General features: G+C 40.0%; 1 long non-coding RNA gene across 3 annotated transcripts in view, besides 1 other annotated feature; it reads right to left on the reverse strand.

Annotated features, from left to right (window-relative positions):
- The window catches only part of OSMR-DT (OSMR divergent transcript), a 152,617-nt gene that overhangs the window by 125,057 nt on the left and 13,312 nt on the right, over positions 1 to 14,248 (reverse strand). The window contains exons 2-3 of one of the 3 annotated variants that reach the window (NR_171677.1): positions 4,314 to 4,441; positions 1,109 to 1,745 (exon numbers count right to left, since the gene is read on the reverse strand). The exons of the other annotated variants lie outside the window; for them this stretch is intronic. This is a non-coding gene — a long non-coding RNA (OSMR divergent transcript). Of the gene's footprint in view, positions 1 to 1,108; positions 1,746 to 4,313; positions 4,442 to 14,248 lie in introns of those variants that run through there. 3 annotated transcript variants of the gene reach the window in all.
- Positions 11,677 to 12,876: an enhancer, noted in NCBI's record as "BRD4-independent group 4 enhancer chr5:38830048-38831247 (GRCh37/hg19 assembly coordinates)". NCBI's record gives its function as "activates an origin of replication core promoter dependent on BRD2, P300/CBP, MED14 and CDK7 cofactors, and independent of BRD4, by STARR-seq in HCT116 cells {active_cell/tissue: HCT116}" and the evidence as "EXISTENCE:reporter gene assay evidence [ECO:0000049][PMID:35650434]".

Raw genomic sequence — 14,248 nt, forward strand, 5'->3', positions numbered from 1 at the left:
GTTGATGTAGGAAGATAATAGATCTAATGACTTCTCCTCCTTTAAGCAGATGTCATTAAAAAAAAAAACTCTTCTTCCTTTTATTGTATCTCTCTAGCTCCTAAGGTCTCCATAGTTAAAGAAAAAAAAAAAAGCCATGAATAGAGACTTTAATTCACAGGTTAAAGATGTCCTTGGTCTAGAAATATCTTCACACAATATAGCTAAGTATCAATTTAGGTAATATGAGGAATTACTTTTTAAAGGCAACTTAACTTTTCAATTATTTTTTAAAGCTGAGTTCACTTTTACTTCATGATTTAATTTTAGATGTCTAGTTTCAAATAGTTTTATTCCCAGAAAAACTATACTTTATTATGTAGATACTAATGAGGAATTCCAAATCTCCTCCTAAAATACAGAAGTAATCCTATAAAAAGTACAAAAGTCTAAAGATGTGCCACAGTAAAAGTTTTCATGTTATGGAATACCATGCAGCTATAAAAAAGAATGATATCACGTTCTCTGTAGGAACATGGATGGAGCTGGAGACCATTATTCTTAGCAAACCAGTGCAAGAACCAAAAACCAAAGACCGCATGTTCTCAGCTTGGCCAACATGGTGAAACCCTGTCTTTACTAAAAACACAAAAATTAGACAGGCATGGTGGCACATGCCTGTAATCCCAGCTACTCGGGAGGCTGAGGTGGGAAGATCATCTGAGCTCAGGAGGCGGAGGATGCAGTGAGCTGAGATCATGCCACTGCACTTCAGCCTGGGTGACAGAGCGAGACTCTGTCTCACTGCCCCTCCCCCCTGCCAAAAAAAAGACAGCATGTTCTCACTTACAGGTGGGAGCTCAGTGATGAGAACACATGGACACATAGAGGGGAACAACATACACTGGGGCCTATGGGAGGATGGAAGGTGGGAGGAGGGAGAGGATCAGGAAAAATAACCAATAGGTACTAGGCTTAAACCTGGGTGATGAAATAATCTGTACAACAAACCCCCATGGCACAAGTTTACTTATATAACAAACCTGCACATGTACCTCTGAATGTAAAATAAAAGTTAAATTAAAAAAAAGTTTTCATGTTAGAGTAAATATACAGAAAAATAGTTATATTAGATATTACTGCATTTTATTTATTTATATATCTACATACACATTTATGTATATTTGTATATATATTATGCATGCACATATATAGCTAATGCATCCACATTATTCAAAAATAAGAATTGTAAAAGTATACAATGAAAAGTTTTTTTCCCCACCCAGTTTCCTAGCTCATAGAAAATGATTACTTGTTTTTTTGTGTTTCCTTCTAGAGATATTTAATGCACATACAACCAATTATTAGGAAATACTTTGGTAATCTGAAAGGAGTTTAAGGAATAAATTATTCAAAATGGTGTGGACAGAGCAGAAGGAAATGACATGGAATGGTAAGGCATCTGTAATTTTATTACAAAGCTATAGTAGTCAAAACAGTATGGTACTGCCATAAAAACAGACACAGAGACCAGTGGGACAGAATAGAGAGCCCAGAGGCCAAGTTATGAATTTAGTCCATTCATTTTCAACAAAGGTGCCAAGAACACACATTGGGGAAAGGATGGTCTCTTCAGTAAACGGTGTTGTGAAAACTGGATATTTACTTGCCATAGGATGAAAATGGACTCTTATTTCACACCATATACAAAAATCAACTCAAAGTGGATTGAAGACTTAAATACAAGTCCTGATACTATAAAAATCCTGGAAGAAAAGAGAGAAGAAAAGTTTTTGACACTGGGCTTGCCAATAATTTTTGGGGGTATGACACCAAAAGCACAGGCAACAAAGTCAAACACAAATAAGTAGCACTACATCAAACTAAAAAATTCCTGCACAGCAAACCATATATCTGATAGGGGCTTAATATCCAAAATGCATAAGGAACTCATGCAACTCATAACGTGATTAAAAATAGAGCAAAGGACCTGAAAAGACATTTTTCCAAAGAAGACATACAGATTGCCAACAGGTATATGAAAAGGTGCTCAACATCACTAGTCATCAGGGAACTGCAAATCAAAACCACAATGAGATAAGACCGCAAACCTACTAGGATGGCTATTATCACAAAATCAAAAAATAATTAAGTGTTGGTGAGGATGTGAAGAAAAGGGTACAATTGTAAATCGGCACAACCATTATGGAAAACAGTATGGAGTTTCCTCCAAAAACTAAAAATAGAACTACTGAATGATTTAGCAATCCCACTTCTGTGCATATATCCAAAGGAAATGAAATCAGTATCTCAGATATATCTGCACTGCCATGTTCATTGAAGCGTTATTCCCAGTAGCCAAGATAGAGAAACAAACTGTGTTCATCAATAGACAAATGGTTAAAGAAAAGTTGTGTGTATGTATATGTATATGTGTGTATATATGTATACATATGTATATATGAATATACACATATGTATACCTATGCATATATGAATATACACATATATGTATACCTATGTATATATGAATATACACATATGTATACATATGTATATATGAATATACACACATATGTATACATATGTATATATGAATATACACATATATGTATACATATGTATATATGAATATACACATGTATACATATGTATATGAATACACATATGTATACATGTGTACATGTGAATACACTTATGTATACATGTGTACATGTGAATACACATATGCATGCATGTGTACTTGTGAATACACATATGCATGCATGTGTACATATGAATATACACATATGCATGCATGTGTACATATGAATACACATATGCATGCATTGTACATATGAATACACATATATGTATGCATGTGTACATATGAATACACATATATGTATGCATATGCGTGTATATGAATATACATATATGTATGCATATGCGTGTATATGAATATACATATATGTATGCATATGCGTGTATATGAATATACATATATGTATGCATATGCGTGTATATGAATATACATATATGTATGCATATGCGTGTATATGAATATACATATGTATGCATATGCGTGTATATGAATATACATATGTATGCATATGCGTGTATATGAATATACATATGTATGCATATGCGTGTATATGAATATACATATGTATGCATATGCGTGTATATGAATATACATATGTATGCATATGCGTGTATATGAATATACATATGTATGCATATGCGTGTATATGAATATACATATATGTATATATTATGTGTATATATACACGCACTGGAATACATGTGTACATATATACATACATGTAAACTGTATACAATGTATACATGTACACATGCATGTATATATACATACTATATACATCTGTACACCTATATACATGTATATACACATGAATACATATACAAGTATATACATATGTATATACAAGTATATACATATGTATATGTATACACGTGTATATACGTGTATATGTGAGCAGTGACAACGTGCTAGCAGCCCTCACTGGCTCTTGGCACCTCCTCGGCCTCCGCGTCCGCTCTGGCCGCACTTGAGGAGCTCTTCAGCCTGTCGCTGTGCTGTGGGGGCCCCACTCTGGGGCTGGCCGAGTCTGTAACCAGCTCCCTCTGCTCTTGGGGAGGTGTGGAGGGAGAGGTGCCGGCGGGAGCTGGGGCTGCGCGTGGCATTCACAGGCCGGTGCGGGTTCCGGGTGGTCAGGGGCTCAGTGCCTGCTGGGCTTGATTGGGGGATGAGCTCCCTCTGGGCTGCCAGAGTGCCCGGGCTAGGTGCTGCAAAGTCCCGCGGAGAGTGCCATTGAGAGGTGAAGCCAGCTGGGCTTCTGGGTCAGGTGGGGACTTGGAGAACTTTTGTGTCTAGCTAAAGGATTGTAAACACACCAATCAGCACTCTGTGTCTAGCTAGAGGTTTGTAAATGCACCAATCAGCACTCTGTGTCTAGCTAAAGGTTTATAAACGCACTAATCAGCGCTCTGTGTCTAGTTAATCTGGTGGGGACTTGGACAACTTTTGTGTCTAGCTAAAAGATTGTAAATGCACCAATCGGCACTCTGTGTCTAGCTAAAGGTTTGTAAATGTACCAATCAGCACTCTGTGTCTAGCTAGAGGTTTGTAAACGCACCAATCAGCACTCTGTGTCTAGCTAAAGGTATGTAAACACACCAATCAGCTCTCTGTAAAACGGACCAATCAACTCTCTATAAAATGGACCAATGAGCTCACAGTAAAATGGACCAATCAGCAGGATGTGGGTGGGGCCAGATAAGGGAATAAAAGTAGGCCAACCAAGCCAGGAGCGGCAACCCACTCCACTTACCTCCCCTTCCACACTGTGAAAGCTATGTTCATTCGCTCTTCGCAATAAATCTTGCTGCTGGTCACTCTTTAGGTCCACGCTGCCTTTATGAGCTGTAACACTCACTGCGAAGATCTGAAGCTTCACTCCTGAAGCCAGCAAGACCATAAACTCACCAGAAGGAACAAACAACTCCGGACGTGCTGTCTTTAAGAGCTGTAACACTCACTGCAAAGGTCTGCAGCTTCACCCCTGAAGTCAGCGAGACCACGAACCCAGCAGAAGGAAGAAACTCCGGACACATATGAACATCTGAAGGAACAAACTCCAGACACACCATCTTTAAGAGCTGTAACACTCACCACGAGGGTCCGCAGCTTCATTCTTGAAGTCAGCAAGATCAAGAACCCACCAATTCCGGACACATATGTATACATATACATATCGATATGTACGTGTGTATATGCATACAGATATGTGTATGTATGTATATTCGTAGGTAAGCACACATATATACATGCCTGTATACACATGTGCATATACATGTGTGCATGTGTACATGTAGATACACATGTATTCATAAGTGTGTACATGTATACATCTATACATACATGTGTATACGTGTGCATACATACATGGTACATGTGTATACGTGTACATACATGGGTACGTGTGTATACACGTGCATACATACCTGGGTACGTGTGTATACGCGTGCATACATACCTGGGTACGTGTGTATACGCGTGCATACATACCTGGGTACGTGTGTATACGCGTGCATACATACCTGGGTACATGTGTATACGTGTGCATACATACATGGGTACATGTGTATACGTGTGTATACATACTGCACACACTGGAATAATACTCAACTTTAAAAAAGGAGATCCTGCCATTTGCAACAACTTGGATGAAACTGGAGGACATTATGCTAAGTGAAATAACCCAGGCACAGAAAGACAAACGCTGCTTAATCTTACTCATATATGTTATCTAAAAAAGTCTAACTCATAGAAACAGAAAGCAGAACGGTGTTTGCTAGCGGGTAGGGGATGGAGGAAAATGGGGGAATTTGGTCAAAGGGTACAACCTCACAGTTTTAAAATGCACAAGTTGTGGAAATCTAATGTATTGCATCATAACTATAGAATAATAATATATTGGATATTTGAATTTTGCCCAGAGAGTAGATGACCAAAAAACAGATATGTGAAGTGATAAATAGGTTAAATAGCTTTATTTGGGGAATCATCTCACAATGTGTATGTGTATCAAAACACCACGTTGTACATCTTAAATACATACAGTGTTTGTCAGTTACATCTCAATTAAAAATAAATAAAATTAAAAATTGACTAATAAATTACCAGTAATGGCTGTGCATGGTGGCTCATGCGTGTAACCCTAGCACTTTGGGAGGCCAAGGCAGGTCGATCACTTGAGGCCACGAGTTCCAGGCCAGCCTGGCCAACATGGCAAGACCCTGTCTCTACTAAAAATACACACACACACACACACACACACACACACATTAGCCAGGCGTGGTGGTGCATGCCTGTAATCCCAGCTATTCGGGAAGCTGAGGCATGAACATTGCTTGAGCCCAGGAGGTGGAGGTTGCAGTGAGTTGAGATTGCGCCACTGCAGTCTAGTCTGGGCGAGAGAGTGAGACTCTGTCTCAAAAAAAGAAAAAGAACCAAAAACACAGGACAAGTAATTTTGTAGGAAAACAAGAAAGAAGTATCATATGGCAGTGAAAATTCGTAGTGATAATGAATTTTTTAAACTAGTAGGCGAACCACCAATGCTTAGGGCTAAAATGAGAGTTGTCTTTATCATCCCTAAACTTCCCTCAGTACACACAGGCCACCACCACTACCACCACCGCCACCACCACCACCACCACCACCAGCACCAGCACCACCAGCACCAGCACCAGCACCACCACCACCACCACCACCACCACCACCACCACCACCACCTTATTTTCAATAAGCCACTTGGGAAATGCTGATGATAACAGTATTAAATGTGTTGGAATTTAAGCACTTGAAACCTGGTGGGGAGGCAATGATAGAAGGCTAATACCTCTTAAACTTTGATAACTGGGTAGGCAAACTGTGACAGTGTATGTTACGATACAAGTAGGAAAAAGAAGCTGATTTGAAGGAAAATGTAAAGTTTAAAGTTCAAAAGCCATGATTATTAATAGATATTGGGGAAAAATATAATTTTGCAAAGATAGTTACTTCCCTAGAAAATCACTCAAGATCTGTCACGGGAAGAATTTAAAAAAACTGGCGGCTAAGCAGAATGTGAAAAACTCTTTTTGAATTTATTTAAAATAAATACAATAAAAATATTCCAATTAAAGTGGGCAATTGAAGTGATATGTTTCGTGCCAAGTTTGATAAATTAATGCCTCTGTGGTTTACACGTTCTGACATCCATTGAGGATGATTCATCCTGGTGATTTCAGTTGTAAATTGTGTCTAATCAAGAAACAACTGAATTTTCTCTTTAACAGCAATTTATACACTATGTTTATTTACAATATAATATTCATCCTGAAAATGATGTTGAATTTTGTGAAGTAATGATGAACTTTTAGAGACGCAAACTGAACTATTTACAGATGAAATGACAGGATGTTTCAGATTTGCTTTCAAATTACCCAGTGGAATGAAGGAAAGTGGGTCAGAATTTAGATGGCATAAGATTGGCTGGGACTAAATAATTCTTTAAGCAGGGTGATAACCACATGAGGTTCCTTATAATATTTTTCATTACTTTTGCATATGTTTGAAATTTTCCATAATAAAAAGTTTTTGAAAAATACAATTAGACTCCCGAGATAAGAAGTTGGAATTGTGGTGGTATTGATTGTCACCATTTTGAGAGGACTGATAAAATTCAGAGATAAAATTCATCTCTCTGGTGGGCAGCACAATAAATCCCTTGGAAAAAAATAAATAAATCAAACTCGGGCAGAAACTAAGGGGATTTCAACCTACCCATCTTTATCCTCTGCTCACAGTAAGTTCTAAGATGTGGCTTCTCCCAGGAGTCTCAGTTATATGTTAGGTGCAGTGTATATATATATATATATACTCTCATCTCTGAGTCATATGTTTTCCTAACTCAGCTTAAGTGGTAAGACCAATTTGGGAGAAGTATTGTGTAAGAAGGAACACATCAATTTTTAAAATACTTTATTTAAAAACAGCTTATTTCAAAGGTTTCCTGTTTTTGTCTGAAGCAATTATAGACTTCAGCAGAAGCCAGGGTTCAAGGTTGGTGGGAGGCTTCTGAAAGTCCTTATTCATCTTCACTTTGAAAAAAAAATGCTCAAAATCAAACGTGTTTTCAGATGAAAAATTCAACAAAATGGTACTTTCACATTTAATTTGGATGATTGAAAACCTGGTAATATAATAAAAGTTATTTCAGGCTGTGTGTCAATTTTATATCTTTTTAAATGGCAAACGAAATTGAATTTATCCTCCCATGCCGGGAAATGTCGGTATTCAAACAAGACCTTTCTTTCTTTTATTTTAAATGATGTTTGTTTTTGTTTGTTGTAGTTTGAGTAAAGCAGAAGTTTCAAAAGAGAAAACCGTGAAAGATAAAAACTGAAAAATTAGAAAGGGACTAGATCATCAAAGGCTTTAAATGATAAATTTCCATCTATATTTAAAGGAACTTTTAGTTGTATACACACGAGTGCCCAGCCTCTCTAGTATGTCTTTTCTCTGCAGGAGCCAAGTCAATCTCCTGAAAGAGATTTCCTGCTTTATTCTGTGAATTGGCAGTTATTAATATCCACCCCCACCTGCTGTGGGTAGGTCACAGTCATCTCTGAAGACAGCCTTAGAAACAACATGAACACAGGGATGATGTCTCACAGGCAGGATCTGGAGCCCAAGAAAAATATTCTCAGCTTGAGATTTCTATTGGAAGTTGGAATAGATCTGGTCATCTTTTTTTTTTTTTTTTTTTTTTTTTTTTTGAGACAGAGTCTTGCTCTGTTGCCAGGCTGGAGTGCAGTGGCACGATCTTGGCTCACTGCAACCTCTGACACTCTGGTTCAAGCGATTCTCCTGCCTCAGCCTACTGAGTAGCTGGGATTACAGGCACGCAGCCACAATGCTCAGCTAATTTTTGTAGTTTTAGAATAGACGGGGTTTCACCATGTTGGCCAGGATGGTCTCGATCTCCTTACCTCATGATTTGCCCTCCTCAGCCTCCCAAAGTGCTGGGATTACAGGCATGAGCCACCGCGCCCAGCTGATCTGGTCAACTTTTTACAAAATATTAATTCCCTTCCTTCTTCCCCTGGAGGACAATTATACTTTCCTATTCCATTGACTTTGAGCTTGGCCAGGTATCTTACTTTGTTCAACAAAACAGAAGCAGACATAAGAGCAGAAGCTTTCAATGTGCTGTGTGACATGGCTTCTCTCCTAAGCTTCTTTGATCTGTCATGGGATGAACATGTCATGGGTAGAACATGTCATGAGTAACTGTCAATCAAGGGCAATGGGGAGATCAGAACCCAATCTGAAGCCCAAAGAAAGCCCAGGTGACCTGCAGCCTGAAGCAGAGCTGCCCCAAATGACCCATAAACCTATGAGTAAAAAACTATAAAGGCTTGTTGCAAGCCTATGAATTTGGCAGTGGTGCCATGGTTTGAATATTTTTTGTCCTCTCTAAGATTTACATGTTGGAAACTCAACCTCAATGCCACCATGTTGGGAAGTGGGGGCCCTTGGGGAGCTGTTTAGGTCATGAGAGCTCCACCCTCATGAACAGATTAATGCCACCATGAAAAGAGCTTGTGGGAATGGGCTGTCTCTCTCTTCTGCTCTTCAGTCCTGTGAGGACATAGGAAGGCATCATCTTAAAACCAGAGACCAAACCTGAAGGTGACTTGATCTTGGATATCCCAGCCTCCAGAACTGTGAAAAATAAATTTCTGGTTTTTTATAAATTACCTAGTCTCCAGTAATTCTGTTATGGCAGCACAGAACAGACTAAGATAGGTGGTTTGTTATGCAGCATTTTTGCGTTAATAGCTGACTAACATAGAAATCATCTGCGCACACAGGAAATGGAAACGTGAGAGCAGATGCATTTCCTAGAAAGAAGGCATAAAGCAGTGACTCACCCTGTTTATGGCTTATAGACTGTTTATGGCTTGTGGTTTATAGACTGTGGTGGAGTAAATGTTTGTGTTCCCCCCACCAAATTCATCTGTTGAAATCCTAGCCCCCAAGATGATAGGATTAGGGGGTGGGGTCTTCGAGAGGCAATTAGGTCATGAGAGGGGAACTCTCCTGGATGGGATTAGTGCCCTTATTAGAGAGAGAGCTCCCTCCATCCCTCCTGCATGTGAAGACATAACATGATGGCCATAGATGGCCATCTATAAACCAGGATGTAGGCTTTCACCAGACACCAAATCTACTGATAGCTTGATCTCAGACTCCTCAGCCTCCAGAACTGTAAGAAATAAACATTTGTTGTTTAGGCAGCCAAAATGGACTAAGACATGGATTTTATTGAAAATCTAATAAATGCCTTTATCAGATTCTTCCCCAAAATAGCTTCCTTGCATCCACCCGCCTCTTTTCAGGTCTCCATACTATATGAGTCCATCTGATTGGCAGAATCTAAAATATGTCTGGAACTCAAGAAACAAAGGAGTTTAGGATATGTAGCTTTTTAGCTTTCCAGCCCCTGAAACTCAGGAGGAGGTTAAGATCAACTTGAGTGAGCCAATCTACTCTTTCTAACAAACCACGATGTAAGTAGACAAGCAGTTTAGGGAGGAGAATGAGAAGATGAAGCTGGAGAGAATTAGGAGAAACTGATGTCATAGAAATCATGACAAGAAATAATATGAGGAAGAAGGAAATGGTTAATTATTTAAAATAGGTGACGCAGAGAAACACCATGTAAGAATGTAAAGTACTGCTGAATTGGGCAATAACAATGTCCCTCAACACCAAAACAGGAGCTGCTTCATTGGTAGAAAGATGAGAAGGTAGAGACAATGAGTCCTAGAATACTCTTTACAGAGGTTGGTTGAGGAAGGAAGAGGAAGGATGTGGTTACCATCCATGAGACCTTGTGTGATAGTGAATCGTTCCTCAGTAAAGGATTGATAAACTCTGCCGTGGATAGACTAGAAAAGTTTCAATCTTTCTCCTTTGTGTCATTAAAAAAAAAAAAATCCTCTCCCTGTTCTCTAAGCTAACAGGTCTTCTTCTTGGGTCTCGCAAATCATCTTGTGAGTGAACAGAAGTGACTCTCAGATTTTCTTTGTATCTTCTTGTTGTGGAATTATCCTCACCCACAGCACAGGAAAGTTCCCTGAAGTGGCTGTCTCTGTGCTCCACTTTTCTTTTTGCCTCGTGCAACCTGTATCCCATTACCCCCAGGGAAAGCTGTCTCTCTTATTCATCTTCTTTGTCCTAAAATTCACATTAATTTTTACATCATACTCACAGTCCTCAACCCCCAGAGTTCCCTAAGTCAAACCATTGTTGGCTTCATGACTTTGGTAGATACTGCCAATAATCTCCCAATATCCATCTTCCCTTCTATTTTTTTTGGTAAAAGAATCCCCAAGTTTTACACGAGCCCAGCTAGAGACTAATTTCTTGTCTTCTTAAGCAGCTAGATGTGACCATGTGATTCTGTCTGAACCAAAGGGACTCTCACTTGTGCCTTAGGTGATGGCTGGCTGAAGAAATCTTGGGAGCCATATATTGAGCATGATAAAGCTGTCCTACCGACCCAGGCCACTTATTCTGGACTGTTAAATGGGAGGGAGATAAATTTAGATTTTAGGTAAGCCACAGTGTTGTTGTTTTTTTTTTTTTCTTTACTTGAAGGGGATCAGGATACGCTACCCCAAAATATGCCACTTTAACGTAAGGTTTATTTTGACCCAAAGGCAACTGAAAATCAACAGATGTAGAAGAGTTCTCCACCCTCCCTTTATCTGCCTAGAAGTTGGGCATGAGTTTCCCTTTGTTATGGTGTCTATCTCCTGTATCAGGAAAAGGAGAGCAACTTATATCACCAGAGATGGAGAGTTGGCACCAAGATAAATCTGCATAACAGACCTTAGGAAAAGAACCTTTATCTTCTGTTAGTTTCCCCCATATATTTCCTAGTTACTTCCCCATGATTTATCATCCCTTGAAGTTCAAATTTTCCTTTATTAAAATTATATGTAAACTAGAAGTCTAACTACTTCTTTGAGTTTCACTTCTTTTCTGTGAACTCTTGTGCATATAAATATTAGCAAAAATTGCACGCTTTTTCTCTCATTAATCTATCTTTTGTTAGTTTAATTCACAGGCCCCCAGATACTGAACCTAAGAGGACAGAGGAAAAGTTGTTTCTCCCTGAAAGACTATACCCTAAATAATACAAGGGTCACAAGGCATATTGCTCTCCTTTATAACAATGGCTGTGTGGTCCAGCTGCCACACAATATCCAAGACTGGTTCCACAATGACAACTGCATCTTTCAGGAACAGCTTCCATAACTTGTTCTCTGCCTATTAGAAGTCTCCTCTGACTAGAACAACATCGAAAGATGTTTCTCTTCTATATCTCATGACATCTGGAGAATTTGGGGCAAGAATGAACAGCACCTTGTAGGATGCTCTTGGAAACTTTGTCTTCTTGGAAACAATATACATATTCCCCATGATCTTTTGGCCTTGGAGTCAGCCAGCTTGCAACAAATTCAAGCTCTACCTACCACTCAACAGCAATGCTACTGAGCTTTTCTCTGTCTCAGTTATAAAATGGGGTAATAATTGTACTTGTCTTCAAAAGTTGCTATGGCAATATTTTTAGGTGAAATTTTATGCAAGTTTACATTATTATAATTATACAGTTAAATTATCCTGCTTTTGCAAATGTTAGGACAAAACATGACCATGTAAACCAATCCTTGAGCCTCTCTCTGGGTCTATGGAAAAGTCTGTGTCATTAGCTTCACAGTAAATCCACTCTGACTACCTCACAGGGGAATTAGAGGATGACACAACATACAGTCAGGGCCACTGGCACAAAGGTAACTTTGTGCTTATTACACAAGGGTGACCCCTCCAGATTGACACAGGGCTCAGGGCCAGCAAAGCAAGGGCTAGATTTTAGCTCTCACTATTTTTCTTGGTTGGGGGCCTTTGGCATTGGCAAAACTGGAGGTTGCTGATATAGCTGGGGGTTGGTGCACTCCACCAAGGTCCTTGGCCAGCAGGGCGGAGGTGAGCAGGAACCACATTCAAGTCCCCTTTTCTTGCCAAGTTGTGTGTCTCGACATGCAGCTGCATATACCCAAGAATAGGGCATGTTTGGCTTCACACGAAATCTCTGTCTTTCTGCTAAACCCTGCACCTACTTTTCTCTAATGTGTGCAGAGGTGCCTTAGAGCTTGTGGGTGGGCCAGCACATTGCACCAGTATAGGTAGCAGCCCTGATCCCTGGCACGCAATAAGCACTTTACAAACCTAAACGTTCCTTTGTGTCCCTATCCCACCCCCCATTCTTTCCTACCTATATAATGTTTTCCTTACTTGCTCAACCTTGTATAACTCGAGGTCATTAAAAAAGTTAGTTTGCATATTTTCAAGGAAGCAATTGGAAACCTAAGTTGCTCCAGGGAATTGCCTTACCAGTGTGTCCCTGTGCTTCCAGGGGATTCCACATAAGATAACATCTTTGGGGATTTTGCCAGATTCCTTGTCTGTATGCATTGGGGCACCGTGACAAAAATCCTTCGCTTGGCCAAACTTTAGTCAGAGTCCTGAACCCTCTCGTAGGCTCATATGTGTATTTCCTCGTAAAATCTAGTTTTAGCAAGAACTCTGTTAAGTCAGTTTAGCAAGACCACCCCCTACCCCACCCACCCTCAATATCTGATCAGGTTCTTTATCATTCACCATCTCCCAGGTGATGTCTTATCACCCTGGCCTGTCTTCAGCAAGAGTCTTGTGAGGTTGCCTTACACAGAATCCCCCTTACTCCTCAGGTTTCCCTTAGCACTTTTCCATCCACTGACCACCACCCTGCTCCTTGGCTATACATTTCTACTTGCCCATGCTGTATTTGGAGTTGCAATCCCATTGCTGTGGTCCCTATACCTATGGGATGGTCCGAATAAAGTCTTTCTTAACAGGCTTTATTAATTATCCATGAACAATTTTTTCTTTAACTAGCAGGGAAGGAATTTTCAGTTGTACCACTCTGGGAATGCCCAGAGCTCATCTTAGGCAAAGTCAAGCTAGAGGGCTGTGCCTGGCCAGTCTCAGGTGGTGGTGGTAGGATCAGGTAGCCAAGCATCAAAGTCCTCTGATGTCAGTCTTGCCTTTTGCACCGTGGTGGGAAGACGTGAAGCAAATTCCTCAAGTGGCCAGTTCTCTAAAAAGCAGCCACTAGAGGGCTCTATAGGGGGGCTCTCTCTCTCTCTCTCTCTCTCTCTCCTCTCTCCTTCTCTCTCTCCTCTCTCTCTCCTCTCTCTCCTCTCTGTCTCTCTCTCTGTCTCTCTGTCTCTCTCCGTCTCTCTGTCTCTCTCTCTCCTCTCTCCTTCTCTCTCTCCTCTCTCTCTCTCTCTCTCTCTCTCTCTCCTGCTTTGGACCTTTTCTAGGCTGGTTGAGGGGTTGAGAGTAGGCTTAGGTTAGGGAGCTGAACAGCAGGACAGCACAGGCCTTGCTCACATCACCCACATTATCTCTGCTGAGTGAGTTACCTTGAGGTAAAGGAGCAATTGATGGGCAATTGTCCATCAAAGTAGTCACACATTTAAAATGTTGGTAGTACAAAGGCTAATTTATACTCCCACCAACAGCATTTGAGAATTAACTGTTGATCCACATACCTCATCAACACTGGGACATGACCAATCTTGTAAAATTTTCAACATGATA

This window comes from Homo sapiens, chromosome 5 (assembly GCF_000001405.40).
Source record: "Homo sapiens chromosome 5, GRCh38.p14 Primary Assembly".
NCBI lineage: Eukaryota > Metazoa > Chordata > Mammalia > Primates > Hominidae > Homo > Homo sapiens.